This window comes from Homo sapiens, chromosome 11 (genome assembly GCF_000001405.40).
Source record: "Homo sapiens chromosome 11, GRCh38.p14 Primary Assembly".
In the NCBI taxonomy this organism is placed as follows: domain Eukaryota; kingdom Metazoa; phylum Chordata; class Mammalia; order Primates; family Hominidae; genus Homo; species Homo sapiens.
In genome coordinates, this window is record NC_000011.10 from 6,791,572 (window position 1) to 6,811,314 (window position 19,743).

Sequence of the window (19,743 nt, forward strand, 5' to 3'; positions counted from 1 at the left end):
GCATCAATTCATGAATATCATGATAATAAAAAAATTCAGGTAAATATTCAAAAAAGTCAAGTGTTAGCTGTACATATTATTGTAACTATAAAGGAAGGGAAAATATATCTTTATTTTATGAAAGCCAGTAAAATAAATCAAACTTCTCTTAAAATATTTGGTAAGGAAAAACTAACAACGTGTTTCTTTTTAAAATAAACTTCTAAATTTTGGAACAATATTAGGCTTACAGAAAAATTGCAAAGATGCTAAAGAGAGTTTTTCACACACCCATCTCTCAGTTTGTTTCTTCTAATATATTCATCCTTCATTAGCATACATACTTGTCAAAATAAGAAACCAAAATTGATACATCACTGTTAAACTATTCAGATTTTGCCATTTTATTCAGATTTTATTATCTTTTCTGTTAGTATTACTTTATGTTCCAGGGTCCAATCCAATATACCGTACTCCATATAGGTATCTTGTCTCTTTGACAAGCTTTGATCTGATATTTCTCAGTCTTTACTTGTTCATAACTGTAAGGGTTTTTTAATGAAGGGAAATAGGGTTTACAGAGCTGCAGAACAATTGTTATTTTTAAAATGCTGTTTATCAAGAAGGATTTTTGTTTCCTGATCCTGGTCAATGTGATGTTTTAGCAAACAGTGAAATACACTGGCTTATTAGTCTCAAATAAAAATTGTTAATCACAATCTAGAATTCACCTGTACAAGGTTTGTAGTGGACAAAAAATTAAAATAAGGACAAAAAGGAAAATTAAGAATGTGCTGTGAAGAAACTTAAAAGGCAGACTGAGAAATCTGGAGTTTACTCAACATTGGAAACCACTAGACACCTGGAGCACAGAAGTCATTTATATTAATCCTCACTTGCCTGTAGTTGTTAGTTGCCTCTGGCCACTCTGAATAACCCGGGTAGATCCAGTACTCCCACCTCTTGTACTGATGCAAGAGACTAGAAGCTTCTCCAGATACTGTATTAGCAAAGGGGAATTATAAAAGACTTATATTATCTAAGCAATACTTTGAAAGACCGGCAGATTACAAAGATGGTCGAAAACAAACAGGATCAAATGGAACAAGGATAAAATAAAGTTCTACATCTACGTTTATGGGAAAAATCAGTTACATAAATGGAGGATGGGGGATACTTAATCTGATAATCAATACTTCACATGAAAAAGTTTACAAAGTTTTGTGACCTCAATTTCAATATGAGTCCTGAGGGTCATATGTTCACTAAAAATTCAGTCCCCGTCTGGAGAGGTGTCAATCTCACCATAGTACATGGGACTCAAACTCATTCGTGGTTTATTGAAAGGTGAGTATGTGAGGAATACTGTGCTAAACCCTATTCCAATACTTGAAATCAGAATTAGAGGTGTTTTAAAGCATTGGAAAATAAAAGAAAAGCACAATGAAGAAATTCAACATTATGCTTTTACTTCCTATTAACTCGAGTTAACTTATAAAAGAGTTTATAAAAGAGTTGTAATAACAATGCCTAGAGGAGGACTCTCCCATCCCTGATCACAACCCCATTTCAGAAACTTCTTCTACGGGGACACTTCGACAGTAGATTTTTGATGAACTTTATATCCAGTCATTTAAAAAATTATTACAACAAGATACTTATACTGTTTAGGCACAAATAGATATGCACATTATATTAAAACTTTTAATAAGTATGGGCTAGCAAATAATGCATGATATCCTTGGTAATATCCTTTTGTAAATTTTATTAAGTAACATACAGCAATAAAGTTAGATCCCACATCTTGAGCAACAGTTGGATCCATATCTGGAGATAGAATCTTCACTGTCTTCAGAGTTCTGGTTGTCGGGTGACAGTAGGGAGCTAAATTTCTGAAAATCATACTGACATACCCTGTATCCATCTCCCTGTCCAGATAAATAAAGTTATATATAATATGGGCTAAGAAAAAAAGCATTTAAATAAATATATTGATGGCAATGCTTAGCCACAGAATGCAATTTACAGGTGTAAGCAGTCCAGCATTATCTAGCCAGCATTTTAGTCATATTCCTTCTAGTCTTGTTTAAACAAGCAAATATGGCTGATATTTTTGATACTGTTATATAACATAATATTTTTATTAAGTTAGAAATATTTTTTCTTTCATTAACTCTATTTAGATCACTTTATTTCAATTTCTGCATAGTTTTCCATGTAACATATGAGCTACAATTTATTTGACCAGTGCCCTGTTTGCGAAAGTTGAGCATATTTTGCTTATTTCCTTTCCTTGTTTCTGTATTTATAAGTAAAAGTGTCTATCTGCACAAATCTTTCCGAATCAGAATGGTTGCAATATTTTTAGGATTTGTAATACATATTTTCAAAATTTTTTTCTGGCAAGGCTGAGCCAATTTGTATCTCTCTGCATACTAGTAAAGTATGAGGGGTTTACTTCCTGCACCTGCCAACCCCACATATAGGCATGACACACATGCCTTGCCTACATGGTTCCAAACTATATTCATTCATTATACATATTCATAGCCATCATGCACTAGATACTGTTCCTGCCCATGGTAATAAAAGGATGTAAAAGAAAATCTGATCCTGTCACCATGGTGCTTATAGTCTAATCAGGGAGACAGAGTATTGATGAAACAACTGCACTCAGCCACTAGTTCAATGTGGACACTGACCACAGTAAATTTGAAAATAAACCTAGAAACCATTATGTTTTGATAGGTGATATGTTCCCAAAACAAAAATTCCTAGTTTCTTATCTCCTTGCCTTGTAACACACGCTAGAATGATATCTCCTGGGCCTCTGCTACCTAATAGAGATCTTATCAAAAAGTCTTGTGTTGCTTTTCCGTAATGAAGCCTGTGCTTCCTTGATTGGAACCTTGTCTATGCAAATTACAAAGGGACAGACAATAGTGGACCCAGCTCTATCCTGTATTTTATGGCCCTGTCCTGCAGAAATCCATTTTCTAGCTTGCAACCTATTCCTCTCTCTCCTCTTGGACTAGTTAAAGAAAGTATTCCTAGTTCCATAGTGATGCCTTTGAAACTCTGGCCCCCAATTTAGGCCCTAAGAACTCCACTGGACTTCATAGAACACATTGATCCCAAGTTTAATAGCATTTTATCAGATTTCACACATCCCTTCTATACATTTCTGCTAGCTTTCTTGGGGTCAGGATCCTGGTGCTGGTACAGGTGCAGAGTACAGCATAGGGCTCTCTTGACCTCTTGATTGCGCAGGCAGTAAATGATGGGATTGAGCAATGGTACAATGACAGCATACAGTACAGAGACCAACTTGTTGGTGTCAAAAGCTGAGAGTGCCTTTGGCCGAGCATAGATGAAGATACTGGCTGCATAGAAGATTATCACAACAGTGAGATGAGAGGCACAGGTGGAAAAGGCCTTATAGCGTCCAGCAGCCGAAGGAATGTGCATCACAGCACCAGTAATGGCCACATAGGAGGCCCCAGTGACAGAGAGTGGCCCTAGAAGAATAAAAATGGCCAGGATGAAATCTGTAAGCTCTGCTGTGGACATATCAGTGCATGAGAGGTTGAGCAATGGAGAGACATCACAGAAAAAGTGGTTGATGATGTTGGGGCCACAGTAAGAGAGGCCAGAAATAAGAAAAACTTTGACCATGGAGATGCCAAAACCTCCAGCCCAAGAGCCAGCAGCCATCTGCACACACAGCCGGCCACTGACAATGACTGGGTAGTGGAGAGGATAGCAGATGGCCATATAGCGATCATAGGCCATAACAGCGAGAAGGACACACTCAGTGCAGCCCAAGCCAAGGAAAAAGTAGAGCTGTGTCATGCATCCCTCAAAGGAGATTAGCTGTCCATGATCCTGTTTGGATCCAACAAAGCCAGCAAGCATCTTGGGAATAGTGACAGTGACATACCAGATCTCCAGAAAGGACATATTAGCTAGAAAAAAGTACATGGGTTTGTGGAGGGTAGAATGGTTCCTAATTGCCATAATGATGAGTGTGTTCTCAGTCAGCACCAACACATAGGCCAGCAGCAAAAGGGCAAACAATAGTACCTGTAGTGGCGCAGGAGCAGGGAAGCCCAGCAACACAAACTCACTCACTCTCCCACTATGGTTCCGCCACTCCATGTCATTGGTCTCTCTTACTGCTCTTCAGGAGATGAGAGTAGAGAGTCTTCAGTAGGCCACAACAAGAACCCAGCCTTTCTCTTAATGGGCTTATATTGGTCGAATACCACGTAAGGAGTTCATGTAATTAATCACTGAGCTGAGGCCACTGCTCTCTTCTTTAATCTGGAAATGAGCTAAGGCAAACATACAAAAATAAATGTTTTTTTTTTTTTGGAAACAAGATAGGAAGGAGTCTGTTCTGACCTTTGGAGAAGCATGCATTGAGATGCACTGGGGAAAAATGACACTATTTTGTCCCCAAAGAACATAGATCAAAACCAAAAAATTGAAAGAGTCTCGGCTGCCCTAAAATGAGAGTTTGTCTTTGAGTTGGATCATGACTCTGTTTTGAGGAAATAAGTTACACAATGGAGGAATAACAATCATATATAACACAATTGAGTTATTATTAGCACAGGCACTGTTATTATTGCATGCACTGCTGTAAAACATTTGCAGTATTAATTCGCTTGATCTTAACAACAATCTTGTGGGCTAGTACTACTAATAGCTACAACTGTATGCCTAAAAAAACTGAAATATAGATTTAAGTGACTAATTCTGGGTTGCAGAAATAGCAAGAGGTGGAACTGGGAAGTCAGGACCTTGGAGCTTCCAAAATATTTAGGTGATGTAAAGGAGGGACTGTACAATACATCTTGGATGTACAGCTGGGAGAGAGAATCTTTGAGATCAGTTACAGAAACAGTTCCTTCCTGCCAGGAGGAAAGAAAGACAAAAGCAGAATACCAGAAGGTCACAGTACCTGTAGAGTGGAAGTCTGCAGAACCCAGTACTTACAAGGAAGACATGAGATTCACTAGGAAATCAGATTAGGAAATGGATGCTGGATGGCAGAAAGACTAAGAATTACAAGATGCTGGAAGTTGTACTAAGTATCTTGAAATGAGGATAGAGTATCTTCCTTTAACATTAAGGCCCATATAAAAACATACATTTACTAGGATACTGTTTGTTTACCTTGGTATCAAAGATAAAAATTTCCCTTTCCCTTTAAAAACTTCAAGCCATTTTTGTGTCTCATGTAGACAAGAAGTTGGGATTTTTACATGGGAGTTGATATGAAGGAAGGGTTATTTTTACCCTGTTCCCCTGTACAGATATAGCATTGGGAGAGAGTGTGGAGTTTAGAAAGGAGAATGGGGTAGAGTCAGCTGAGCATCTGGGTGCGATTTCTTCTCAGATTTCTTACCTTTTAGTCTTAAATCTGTCCCTATGAGGTTAGTGGGGGCAGAATGTGCTCACAAATTAAAACAACCTGCTAATAATTTTATGCCTGACTTTCTCTTCTCTGTATGCTCTGCTATCATTACTTGAGCATTACTCAGTACTTGAGCCCTTGAATTTCTCTTAATACTGTAATGCAATTACAAAATACCTATGACCCTGGCTTTCATTTCCCATCACTCCTATTCTTACCATTCACACCCACAATTTTATTTATTTCAAAATTGATGGTTGATCGGCAATGCTCTAGACCATGGGCTAAGAGTTGTGGTATATAAAGGTTCACAGACACATGCTGAGTCTTCAGGATCTTATAATCTAGTTATAGGGGCATATCTTCACCTTCTCATCCCTGAAAGTTTAAGCTACATGCCTGTCCCAATGCCATACATGTACATACATAGATAAGTGGGAACATCAAACCTACAATTGCTGTTTATGACCTTAGCCTTGATCCTTTCTCCTCAATACCTACCTCATAAACCCTTCTTTTTGCTTTTGATCCTTTTGGCCTCGGACCTTCATTCATATCCTTTGGTCACTTCAACCTTCATGTCTGATGCTCTGCATACTTGAAAATAATAGCCTTTCACACATGGACTCCCAACTGATTTTTCTGCTTATAGTCTTACCCTTAAAGGTGAGATCTTAGCTCAAAACTGACCATTTTACTCTCCTTAAAACTTGTCCATAGTCCCTTTGTGTACACAATAAATGCTCAAATCATTTAGCCTACAGGTACAAGGCCTATAGGCACTTCATGATTTTGCCACTGCTTCCACCTAAACCTTATTTCTTACCACAGTCTACACTGTATTTTATACCTTGCAGCTCTCAGCGCACACCATGTGTATCACCTCATAGCTTTCCTCATGCTGCAATCTCCATGAGCATGGCTACATCCTATTTAGCCTTCAAGTCTTGGTTCATAAGGCTTCTATCCATAGAGACATTAGGTACTTTTTTTTTTTAAACTTTTCCCTTCACAGGTTCAGTGAGATTCCTGTGGTTACTTGTCTCATTAGAGTCCATGAAAGTCTATATATCATTTTGCTTGCTACATCCCTGCAGCTATTGATCAGGTGGATGTAAAGGAGGACCTCTGTAGCTGAAGTGGTTCCACACGTCCTTAATGGTGGAGTATGGAGTGGATATAATTCCATGGATGTCACAGGAGTTCCACAAATCTACTATGTCTAGAATAACCTTTCCCAAGCAAGTTATTCCTCTATTACAATAAATGGCATTAGCTTTCATACAGTCGCCTATGCAAGCCATCTGGAAGTTTCCTAGATATTCTGTACCCATCCACCCTTTCCCCCAACACACATCCCACACTTAACTAATCCAAGTTCTAGCTAAAATGCCTCTTTAATTATCTCTCATATCAGTCCCTTTTCTTCTGTCCTATTTCTACTGCCTTCCTCCTAGTTCCTCACAGCAGGTCATTGATATTCCTTGATTTAACTATTTTGATAGGATCTTACCTGGTCTTTTTTCCTCCAGCCTGTACCCTCATCAATATAACTCCCACTTGTTTTCAGAGTCATATTTCTGTATAGAAACTGCTGACAACAAGAGCATCCAGTTTTTGAGAACACATACAAAATCCTCCAGTAAAGAATCAAAATGTATTTCCTTTTAGCTGTTATACAGCAATCTAATCATTGCCCACTATTTAACTTTTTAAAAACACGTCATGACGTTATATAACTCTGTAACTTTAAACATGTTTCTGTCAAAAACACCCACTCTCTTCCTAGGAATTTTTATCGTAATGTTTTAGTCCCTTAGTTATTACCCCTCCAAAATTACCCATATTTCTATACACTAGATTATTTGTTGCAGCATCTATCTCTCCTTCTGACAGTAGTTCCTGTTATAAGGTTTCACTTACTGATTATTAAAGGTTTATAATGTGGTTGCATGAATGCATGGCAAAAAGGAGAAAGGTATGATGTGGGCAGAACAGATGAATTGCAGATAACAGGAATGGAATATAAAGAAAAAAGTATATAAAAAGGATTTTGGTGGAAATGGTCAGGAATAGAGAATTTAAGTGGCTAACTGAGAATATGACAGAGTTGGAATTATATGCAAGTAAAACATGCATTGATTGTAGATCTGCAGGGACCAGATAAAACATGAGGAAGTTAGATGAAGTGCAAGAAGATTGGATTTACATGAATAAGAGATATAATATTTGGGTAAAATGAACTTGCTATATAGACAATAAACCAATGAGAGATAAGGTGGAGATAACTAGAATGTTGAAAGGATAGACTGGAAATGGATGATCAAAAATACTGTAGGGAGAACAGGTATATTATGAATAAATAAAGGACCAGCTATGAGAGGAAAAGATAAAGAAAGTGATATTAGTCTAAGTATCAACAGAATTAATATATGTGGAAAATATTGAGAGGTTTGGGATTTTATTAGGTATAGAGAGGAATAAGAAGATGGCTATATTAGACATAAGTAAAGAAAACTTGGGATAATTGACCACTTGAAGAGGAATCAGCAGATAACAGAATCCACTCACTTTATTCAGATGTCACTGACTCATCAAGGTCCTCCTGAGATGGCTGGGTTGGTTAGGAGAGGATTTAAAATGTATGCAAAAAAAGTTGAGTCATCGGGACTAAGAAAGATGATACAGAGATTCCACTTTCTCTTCCTCCCATAGATAGAGAACACTGCCAAGCTAGGAAAGATTCCTTTATCCTGTACCTCAATCCCTCAGTCCCCATTTTTCCCTCCTCCTTCTGATGCTTTGAGATGTCTCTGAGGCAGAAGCTCAAGAGACCAAAAGAGATACAAGAGAGAAAAAAAGGCTGGGGCAGAGGACAGGGAAGGGGAATGTTTGGAAAGCTCAGGCCATAGGGTTTTGTCAGGAAGTTTCATGAAAGAGAGAATGTCAAGATACCCCTACGAACTCATACTTCCCTCTCTTGCCTTCCTGTTCCTTGTCAGTCTCCCCTTTCTATCATGTCATACTCCTGTTCAAAAGAAAGACACGGGCTGATATTCTAACTCAGATATATAATTTTGGGCAATTTATTTAACCTCTTTGGCCCTTACATTCCTAATCTACATAATAGGATTCATATGCCTGACAGGATTGTTGAGAGGAGTAAATGTCATTAATATATGTACAGATCCTGGAACATGACAGGGGCTCAACAATACTAGACAGTTCCTTCTTTATCTCCTGATGCCATATAGGTGACACTCATTAACTCCATGATGTCATACAAGGAGCACTGAATTGAGAGTTAGGGTTTCTGGGTTTGAGTTCCATGTTTGCATTGGATTTTTTTTTTTAATTTGGGGTTTTGTTGTATATGTTTGTTTTCCATATAATGATATCTATATATATTATGAAAATAACATACATGATAAGCATTTTAAGTTTGTGACAAGATTTGGCACCCTACTCAATCCACAGTATTCTGTGTCATATTGAGGTCCAGCAAATTAATTACATGGGATTCACAGTCACATTGTAATTCACATCTGTAATGAAAGTAAATACTTTCATTACAAAAGGAAAAAAAAAATTAGCCAAAAGAAAGCAGCTACAGGCCCCATGAAAGTCTGAAACCTAGCAGAGAAGTCTTTTAACCTTAAAGTTCCAGAATAATCTCCTTTGACTCCATGTCCCATATCCAGGACACACTAGTGTGAGGGCTAGGTTCCCAAGGCCTTGGGCGGCTTCACCCCTGTGGCCTTGCAGGGTCAGCCCCCACAGCTACTCTCATGGGTTGGTGTTGAGTGCTTGTGGCTTTTCCAGGCACATGATGCAAACTGCTGGTGGCTCTACCATTCTGGGTTCTGGAGAAGGGGACCCTCTTCTCACAGCTTCACTAGGCAGTGCCCATGTGGGTTCTCGGTGGTGGCATCAACCCCACATTTTCCCTCTGCACTTCCCTAGTAGAGGTTCTCTGTGAGGGCTCTGCTCCTGTGGCAGGCTTCTGCCTGAACATCTAGGCTTTTCCATATATCCTCTGAAATCTAGGTGGGGGCTCCCAAGCTTCAACTCTTGCATTCTGTGCACCTACAGGCTTAACACCACTTGGAAGCCACCAAGGCTTATAGCTTGCACCCTCTGAAGCAGTGGCCTGAGCTGTACCTGGGCCCCTTTTAGCCATGCCTGGAGTTGAAGCAGCTGGGATGAAGGGAGCACTGTCCCAAGGCTGTGCAGAGCAGTGGGAACCTGGGTATGGCCCTTGAAACCATTCCCTCCTAGGCCTTTGGGCCTGTGATGGGAGGGGCTGCCACAAAGGTCTCTGAAATGCCTTCAAGTCTTCTCATTGTCTTGTCTATTAGCACTTTGCTCCTCTTTACATATGCAAATTTCCACAGCCTGCTTGAATTCCTTCCCTGAAAATGGACTTTTCTTTTCTACCACATGGTCAGGCTGCAAATTTTCCAAACTTTTATACTCTGCTTCCCTTTTAAATATAAGTTCCAATTTCACATCATTTCTTTACTCACACATCTGAGCATAGGCGATTAGAAGCAGCTAGACTACATCTTGAACACTTTGTTGTTTAAAAATTTCTTCCAGCAGATACCCTAAATCATCACTCTCAAGTTCAAAGTCCCACAGATCCCTAAAGCAGGGGAACAATGCAGCCAACCTCTTTGCTAAAGCATAGCAAAAGTGACCTTTACTCCAGTTCCCAATAAGTTCTTTATTTCCATCTGAGACTTCCTCAGCCTGGACTTCAACATCCATATCACCATCAGCATTTTGGTCACAACAATTTAACAAGTCTCTAGGAAGTTCCAAACTTTCCCTCATCTTCCTGTCTTCTTCTGAGCCCTCCACACTCTTCCAACTGTCAGGCCTCTGAGCCCAGGCTAAGCCATCATATCCCCTGTGACCTGCATGTACACATCCAGATGGCCAGTTTCTGCCTTAACTGATGATATTCCACCACAAAAGAAATGAAAATGGCCTGTTCCTGCCTTAACTGATGACATTATCTTGTGAAATTCCTTCTCCTGGCTCATCTTGGCTCAAAAGCTCCTCTACTGTGCACCTTGTGACCCCCACTCCTGCCCGCCAGAGAACCCCCCTTTGACTGTAATTTTCCTTTACCTACCCAAATCTCATAAAATGGCCCCACCCCTATCTCCCTTTGCTGACTCTCTTTTTGGACTCAGCCCACCTGCACCCAGGTGAAATAAACAGCCTTGTTGCTCACTCAAAGCCTGTTTGGTGGTCTCTTCACATGGATGCGAGTGAAACCAACTTCTGCCCACTACCCAGTTCCAAAGTTCCTTCCACATTTTCAGATATCTTTATAGCAATGCCCCACTTCTCAGTACTAATTTTCTATATTAGTCCATTCTTGCATTGCTATAAAGAAATACCTGAGACTGGGTAATAAAGAAAAGAGGCTTAATTGGCTCATGGTTCTACAGTCTGTACAGGAAGCATGACACTGGCATGTGCTCAACTTTTGGGGAACGCTCAGGAAACTTACAGTCATGGTGAAAGGTAAAGGAGAGCACACACCACATGGTTGGAGTAGGAGCATGAGAGAGAGGGGAGGGGAGGTGCCTTACACTTCAAAACAACCAGATCTCCTGATAATTCACTCACTATATAGCACCAAGGGGGGGATAGCGCTAAACCATTCATGAGAACCCTGTCTTCATGACCCAATCACCTTCCACAAGTCCTTACCATTATAAATAAAGTTTTGGTGCCACAAAAGAAATAGCACTCGAATATAAAATTTTCTTTTTAATTCTCAGCAAGGCAAGTTACTTCTATAGAAGGGTCCAACCTTACAGATGGAGCAATGGTGAGCACACACTTGGACAAGGGAGGGGAAGGGGTTCTTATCCCTGACACATGTGGCCCCTGCTGCTGTGTCGTTCCCCTATTGGCTAGGGTTAGACCGCACAGGCTAAGCTAATTCCAATTGGCTAATTTAAAGAGAGTGATGGGGTGAGTGGTTTGGCAGGAAAAATGGTTATGACAGAGCAGGTAATCGGAATGAGTCAGGGTGGAGTAGGTAATTGAAAAAGGTTGCTTTACAAGGAAGTTAAGTTTAAAAGTAGAAGGTAAAGAATCGAACATACTGACATGTTGATTCTTTGAAAAGAAATTTAGAACTCATATCTAACATTACCTTCAGCACTGAGGATTACATTTCAACATGAGATTTGGGCAGAGACACAGATTCAAACTATACCAGTGCTATTTTCCAATTTACAGCAAGTAACCATAAACCAGATTTGCACCTACTAAAGTCTAGGTACCTTTATGAGAGCAATAATTACACAATTAATTATTTTATATCTTCCCTATTAAGTTATTTAAGGTTTCTTAGCACTCAACACATCACTAGCTTGTAGTAGAGGCTCAAAATCTTATTGAAACAACAGTTTATTAAAGAACTTTGGGTGACTTGGTGTGATTACCGTCCAGAACTATAAATGGTGGAATAGCTGCAAAAGAGGCCAGAAAAGTAAAATGAGGCAGTTTACAGAATAATTTATGATTTGATAAAAGGTTATTATTTTATTCCATAGGTGATGAGGAGTCCTCAGAAGGTTTTGAGTTGATGTAGATATAGATTTCAATTTGAAAATATTTCCCAACATTAGTGAGAAAGATGAGTTAGAGATGAAAACCTAGAGACAGAGATGACACAGGCTACTCTGTACTAATATTACTACTATTGCAGTAGTCTAAATGATAACTGTCAAGGATTCAACTTAAGATAATGTAAAAGAATGGGAATTAATAGATATAAGAGAAATATACAGAGAAGAGTTCATAAGATTTGGTGGACAATTAAGTGGAAGAGATGATGGAGATGAGCTTATGAGTTATTTCAACACACATTAATTTGTTATATCATTCTTTGTTTAATGAATGAATATAATATTTACTGAGTTAGCACAATGACAGCAAAATACAGAGTAAAAAGTCTTATTTTTGGCTCAACTATAGATAGTGGTGCCTTATACTTTAAAACAACCAGTTGTAAACTGTTTCAACAAGTTATGAAACATGACAATAATAATATGCATTTGTGTGCTTATGTCAAGCATCCAATTACTTGATTGTATTATCTCATTTAATACTAATAATTATAATATGAGAAAGTTAATATTATACCATATTATAGATGAAGATACTATGTCACAGCAGTAAGTAATCTGCTCAAGATCATACAATAAGTAATAGAAACAGATTTTGAGTTCACATTCTGACTCAAGACCCCAAACTCAGATTCACCATACCATACCACCTTTTGAGTAATCAGCTGCTAATTATGTTAGAGGACACTAGAGTAGAATTTATATTAGGGACATTTAACACTTAAGTTAAAAAGGAAGGAGGATTTCTGGTTCTCAAAAGTGACAGCTGAGCCAGTGTTACAGACTTGAAAAGCTGCATTTTTAAAACTACGCTAGGTTGAGAATAAAAGAAAACTTAATATTCATTTGTAAGATCTTTATAATATGTTTCATATAATTGAAGAAGTAGTTGATATTTGAAAGAATGGAAGCAGAATTTTAGCACCAGCATTTCCTGATCTTAAGAACACTGTTACTTGCTGAGGACAGTGGCTTAGACCTGTAGTCCCAGTGCTTTGGGAGGGTGAGGTGAGAAGATCACTTGAGACAAGAATTTGAGACAAGCCTGTGCAACACAGCAAGGTCCTGTCTACACACACACACACACACACACACACACACACACACACACACACACACACAATTAAATTAGCTGGGCATGCTGGCTCATGTCTGTAGTCCTAGCTCCTTGAGAGACTGAGGAAGGAGGATTGCTTTAGCCCAGAAGTTTGAGTCTGCAGTGAGCTATAATCGTGTCACTCCATCTCTGCATTCAGCCTGGGCAACAGAGCAAGATGCTGTATCAAAAGAAAAAAAAAAACAAAACATAACTGCCAGCATTAACAATTCCCCATCCGCTTGTCTTCCTATTACAAGTTTTTTTGTTTTGTTTTGTTTTTGTTTTTTGGTAAGTGGGGCAAGAGATTAAACTGGCTCAGCTTAGTTCAAAGTCCACTCCAATATCTGGCTTGATTCAGTCAATTATGGCAAAAAGAGTCTTTGCGGTTGGGGCAAGTAAGAGATTTACATGGTATTAATACATATTGGAAAAAGGTTATGAGAATGAAATGCACACACTGCATTATATATGGATGTTTTCTAAAATAAAACATCAAAAATTCACTTATATGTCCACCAATGTAGGAAGATTAATTTTCAGTTGCTCATCTTAACCTCTATCCAGATTGTTTTTATATCATTTGGTTATAATATGTCTCAAGAAAAATACTGTAAACTTACTATTAATTTTAAAACAATCAATTTTTTTTCAAACCATGACTATTTTTTATGTTGGTCATTTTATAGACTGGGCAATAGTTGGGTATATTTCAAAGTATTTTAACTTATTACATAAGAATGTGCTTTTAATGACCATAACAGCAAAGAAAAATGTTACCTTTATTTACACTAGAATAATTATTTTCTTTAAGAAAGTATTTACCAACTCAGTAAAAAATTACTTCTGTATTTATTAAAAACAAACAACAGAAAAGGAAGTGTGTATTCACACTAAACTCCCTTTTCTTCTTTAACCTTTCATGTGCTGGAGAATGCTCTTCTGTTATGGTGCTGTTCAGCACCTTTAGAGCAGAAACTTGTTTAGGTGTCTTTTTTTTCCTGCATTAATGGGAGCTTGTAAATATCTTTTACATGAAGTATCCTCAAGGAAGAGAAAGCACGGTGAAGGAGTTGTCCTCAAGAGTCACTATCGATATTGTCTAAGTGGTCTGAAAATTCTAACTTTGAAGTTTCTCTATGATCCAAACACAATCTAAGTGAAATGATTTCCAGTTAAGTCATCAGAAGTTTGCCTATTGGTATGTTTGTTCATTCATGTGTTATTTATTTGCTTTATATTCCTTTCAATTTCTACTTTAAAATGTTTTGTAACTTTACTAGTGGCTATGAATGTAATTAATTTTTGGAAATCAATTTTATATTAGGTATATTTTCAGTCTCTAGAGGAAAAATGCTATTTTTTAAATATAAGTTTATTTATCACAGTCAGTTGTTTTAAGCTGGTTATCTTTATCTCTATAAATTCTGTAAAATCTGATTGTAATTTCATACATTTCTCCTTAATAAAATCTTCTCTAATATTAACCTTTATTTCATTGAATAAAGTAAATCCCATTGAATCTAACTTTTTAGATTATTCTTTTTAATCAGTAAAAATACTATCTTTTTTTCTTTTTCAACTTTTATTTTAGATACAGGGGTTACATATGTGGGTTTGTTACATGGATATATTACAGCAGGTACTACGCATAGTAACCAATATGTAGTTTTCCAACCCACATTCACCTTCCTCCCTCCTCCCTCTAGTAACCCACAGGGTTTATTGTCCCCATGTTTATGTTCATGTGAGCTCAAGATTTAGCTCCCAATTTTAAGGGAGGTATTTGATTTTCTGTTTCTGCCTTAATTTGCTTAAGATTATGGCCTACAGTTCCATCCATGTTACTGCAAAGAGCATTATTTCTTTTTTCTGGCTGCATAGTATTTCATGGTGTATATGTACCACATTTGCTTTATCTAATCCACCAAATTGATGGACACCTAGGTTGATTTTATGTTTTTGCTATTATGAATAGAATGGCAATGAACATACATGTGCACATGTCTTTTTGGTATAATGATCTATTTTCCTTTTGGTATATACTCAGTAATAGAATTGTTGGGTTCAATAGTAGCTCTGTTATAAGTTCTTTAAGAAATCTCCATAATGTTTTGTACAGTTGTTAAACTAATTTACATTCTCACCAAGAGTGTGTAAGCATTCCCTTTTCTCTGCAGCCTTATCATCACCCCTTGATTTTTTTTTTTTTTTAACTTTTTAATAATGGCCATGCTGACTGGTGTGAAGTGGTATCTCATTGTTGTTTTGATTTGCATTTCTCTGATGATTAGTGATGAGCACTTTTCCATTATGTTTGTTGGCCTCTTGTATGTCTTATTTTGAGAAGTGTTTGTTCATACACTTTGCCCATTTTTTAATGAGGTTATTTGTCTTTTGCTTGTTGATTTAAGTTCCTTATATATTCTGGATATTAGACATTGACAGATGCATTGTTTGCAAATATTTTCTTTTATCCTGTAGGGTGTCTGTTTACTCTATTTATAGTTGCTTTTGCTGTGCATAAAGCTCCTTAGTTTAATTAGGTCCAATTTGTCCATTTTTGTTTTTGTTGCAGTTGATTTTGGGAACTTGGCCAAAAAATCTTTGTGAAGGCTGATGCCAAGAAGGGTATTTCCTAGGTTTGTTTTTAGGATTTTTATAGTTTGAGATGTTAAATTTAAATCTTTACCTTGATTTGATTTTTGTATATGGTAAGAGATAGGGGCCCAGCTTCATTGTTCTGCATATGACTATCCAATTTTCCCAGCACCATTCATTGAATATAGTGTCCTATCTCCAGTGTCTATTTTTGTCAAGTTTATTAAAGACCAGTTGGTTGTAGGTTATGTGGCTTTATTTCCGGGTTCTCTATTCTGTTCCACTGACCTATGTGTCTGCTTTTGTACCAGTACTATGCTGTTTTAATTACTATACTCTTGAAATATAGTGTGAGGTAAAGCGATGTGATGATGTCTTCAGCTTTGTTCTTTTTGCTTGGGTTTGCTTTAGCTAGTTGGACCCTTTTTTTAATTCCATATGAATTTTAGGATTTTTAAAATTCTGTGAAACATAATGTTAGTAACTTGATAGAAATCAAATTGAATCTGTATATTGCTTTGGGCAGTATGTTCATTTTTTAAATATTGATTCTTCTAATCCATGAGCTGGGATGTTTTTCCATTTGTTTGTGTCATTTATTATTTTTTTCATCAGTGTTTCATCATTCTACTTCTAGAGATCTTTCACTTTCTTGGTTCAATGTATTTCTAGGTATTGTGTGTGTGTGTGTGTGTTTGTGTGTGGGTGTGTGTGTGCATGTGTGTCTATCATAAATGAGACTGAGTTTTTGATTTGGTTCTCAGCTTGAACATTATATAAAAATGCTACTATTTTTTGTATGTTGATTTTGTGTGTCTAGAAACATTACTGAAGTCATTTATCAAGTCTAGTCTTTTGGAGGAGCCTTTAGGCTTTTCTAGGTATAAGATCATGTCATCAGCAAACAGATAATTTGATTTTTTCTTTTCCAATTTAGAGGTCTTTTTCTTTCTTTCTTTTGCCTAACTTCTCTGGCTAGGACTTTAAGTACTATTTTGAATAAGAGTGGTGAGAGTGGGCATCCTTGTCTTGTTCCAGTTCTTAGAGAGAATGCTTTCAACTTTTCCTCATTTAGTATGATGTTGGCTCTGAGTTTGTTATATATGGCATTTATTATTTTAAGGTATCTTCCTTCTATGCCTAGTTTCTCAAGAGTTTTTGTCTGTGGATTTTATTGAATGCTTTTTCTGCATCTATTGAGATGGTCATATGCTTTTTGTTTTTCATTCTGTTTATGTGGTGAATCACATTTATTGATTTGTGTATGTTGAACCATGCTTGCAACCCAGGAATAAAACCCACTTGATTATGATGCATTATCTTTTTGACATACTGTTGAATTCAGTTTGCTGGTATTTTGTTGTGGATTTTAGCACCTATGTTCATCATGGATATTGGCCTGTAGTTTTCTTTTTTTATTGCATGCTTGCATGATTTTGGTATCAGGGTGATACTGGTTTTGTAGAATGAGTTAGGGAGGAATTCCTCCTCATCTTTTTGGAATAGTTTTAATAACATTGGTACCAGCTCTTCTTTGTAACTCTGATAAAATTCAGTTGTTAATCCATCTGGTCCTGGGCTTTTTTTGAGAGATTTTAAATTACTGATTCAATTTCATTACTCATCATTGGACTTTCAGGATTTCTATTTCTTCCTGGTTAAATCTTGGGAGATTTTATGCTTTCAGGAATTTATCCATTCCTTCAAAGTTTTCTAGGTTGTGTCTATAAATATGCTCATAGTAGTCTCTGATAATCTTTTGTTTTTCCATGGTATCTGTTGTAATGTCACTTTATTATTTCTGATTGTGCTTATTTGAATCTTCTCTCTTTATTGATTACTCTAGATAGTGGTTTATCATTTTGTTTATCTTTTCAGAAATTCAACTTCTCATTCCATTGATTCTTCTTCTCATTATTTTTTTTTTAGTTGCAACCTCATTTAGTTTTGCTCTGGATCTTTGTTATTTCTTCTTCTGCTCGCTTTGGGTTTGGTTTGTTCTTGCTTTTATAGGTTTTTGAGGAGTGAAATTAGGTTGTTAATTTGAGATCTTTCTATCTTTTTGATGCAGGTATTTAATGCTATAAACTTTCCTCTTAACACCACTTTTGCTATATCCCAGAGGTTTTGGTATGTCATCACTTTATTTTAATTCATTTCAAAAAATTGTTTATTTCTGCCTTTGTTTTGTTGTTTACCCAAAGGCCATTCAAGAGCAAGTTGTTTGGTTTTCATATATTTGTGTCATTTTGAGAGTTCCTCTTGGTATCAATTTTTAATTTTATTCCACGGTGGTATGACAGGATAGTTGTGAATATTTTGAATTTATTCATTACGGCCAAGCATATGGCCTATTGTGGAGAATGTTCCATGTACAGATGAGAAAAATATATATCCTGCAGTTCTGGGGTTGAATGTTCTGTAAATGTGTTAAGTTTATTTGGTCTAGAGTGCAGTAAGTACACAGTTTCTTTGTTGATTTTCTACCTCAGTGATATGTCTAGGGCTGTTGGTGGGATGTTGAATTCCCTCACTGTTATTGTATTGCTACCAATTCCTTTTCATAGGTTTCATAGTATTTGTTTTATGAATCTAGGTGCTCTGGTGTTGTGTGCATATATATTTAGAATTGTGATATCTTCTTGTGGAATCAAACAATTTATCATTATATAATGACCTTGTTTGTCTTTCTTTCTTTTTTTTTTCTTTCTTTCTTTTTTTGAGACAGAGTCTCGCTCTGTCACCCAGGCTGGAGGGAGTGCAGTGGCGTGATCTGGGCTCACTGCAATCTCTGCCTCCTGGGCTCAAGCAATTCTCTGCCTCAGCCTCCCGAGTAGCTTGGATTACAGGCACCTGCCACCACGCCCAGCTAATTTTTGTATTTTTAGTAGAGACGGGGTTTTACCATCTTGGCCAGGCTGGTCTTGAACTCCTGACCTTGTGATCCACCTGCCTCGGCCTCCCAAAGTGCTGGGATTATAGGTGTGAGCCACTGTGCCCAGCCATTTGTCTTTTTTTTTTTAACTGTTGTTTCTTCAAGGTATGTTTTATCTGATGTAAGTACAGCTACTCATGCTTGTTTTTGTTTTCTTTTTTCATAGTAGAATTTCAAAGTAGAATTTCCAAGTGCATATTTAGAGTGCTTTGAAGTCTATGGAAGAAAACGAAATATCTTCATATAAAAACTAGACAGAATCATTCTCAGAAACCACTTTGTGATGTGTGCGTTCAACTCACAGAGTTTAACCTTTCCTTAGATACAGCAGTTTTGAAGGACTCTTTTTGTACAGCTCTTTACTTTGAACATATGGGTATTTTTATCTGTTAGTTGGGTCTTTTGTAGGCAGCAGATAGTTGGGACTTGTTTTTGTATCCAGTTTGCCAGTCTATATATTTTAAGTGGAGCATTTAGGCCATTTACATTTAAGGTTAATATTGATATGTGAGGTTTTGTTCTTGTCATAATGATGTTACCTAGTTTCTTTGTAGTCTCAATTGTGTAATTGCATTATAGGATCTGTGAGCTTTATACTGATGAGTGTTTTTATGATGGCAAGTATTGTCCTTTTGTTTCCATGTGAGAACTCTTTTGAGCATTTCTCATATGGCCAGTGTAACGGTGATAAATTTCCTTAGGGTTTGATGGTCTATAACTTTATTTCTCCTTCATTTATAAAGCTTACTTTAAGCTTTATTGAAAAACTCTTAAAGAATTTTTTTTCCTTAAGAAAGATAATAGGTCCTCAACCTCTTCAGGCTTGTAAGGTTTCTGCTGAGAAATCTTCTGTTAGTCTGACGGAATTTCCTTTTTAAGTGATTACACACTTCTCTCTAGATTATATATATATATATATATATATATATATATATATATATATATTTTTTTTTTTTTTTTTTTTTTTTTTAATGAGACGGAGTCTCGCTCTGTCATCCAGGCTGGAGTGCAGTGGCGCGATTTCGGCTCACTGCAAGCTCCGCCTCCCGGATTC

The 19,743-nt window shown here is 37.0% G+C and overlaps 1 protein-coding gene across 1 annotated transcript, besides 2 other annotated features; it reads right to left on the bottom strand.

Moving 5' to 3' along the window:
• Positions 1 to 164: 164 nt before the first annotated feature.
• OR6A2 (olfactory receptor family 6 subfamily A member 2) lies at positions 165 to 8,118 on the bottom strand. Its single transcript, NM_003696.3, has 2 exons — positions 7,973 to 8,118; positions 165 to 4,313 (listed from the first exon to the last, which is right to left on the bottom strand). Exon 2 carries the CDS (start codon positions 4,135 to 4,137, stop codon positions 3,154 to 3,156), a length of 984 nt encoding a protein of 327 aa, NP_003687.2. The 5' UTR covers positions 4,138 to 4,313; positions 7,973 to 8,118; the 3' UTR covers positions 165 to 3,153.
• Positions 8,858 to 9,774: an enhancer, noted in NCBI's record as "OCT4-NANOG-H3K27ac hESC enhancer chr11:6821660-6822576 (GRCh37/hg19 assembly coordinates)". NCBI's record gives its function as "activates a minimal SCP1, AML or CMV promoter by ChIP-STARR-seq in naive and primed H9 embryonic stem cells {active_cell/tissue: H9 hESC(naive and primed)}" and the evidence as "EXISTENCE:reporter gene assay evidence [ECO:0000049][PMID:30033119]".
• Positions 9,775 to 10,690: an enhancer, noted in NCBI's record as "OCT4-NANOG-H3K27ac hESC enhancer chr11:6822577-6823492 (GRCh37/hg19 assembly coordinates)". NCBI's record gives its function as "activates a minimal SCP1, AML or CMV promoter by ChIP-STARR-seq in naive and primed H9 embryonic stem cells {active_cell/tissue: H9 hESC(naive and primed)}" and the evidence as "EXISTENCE:reporter gene assay evidence [ECO:0000049][PMID:30033119]".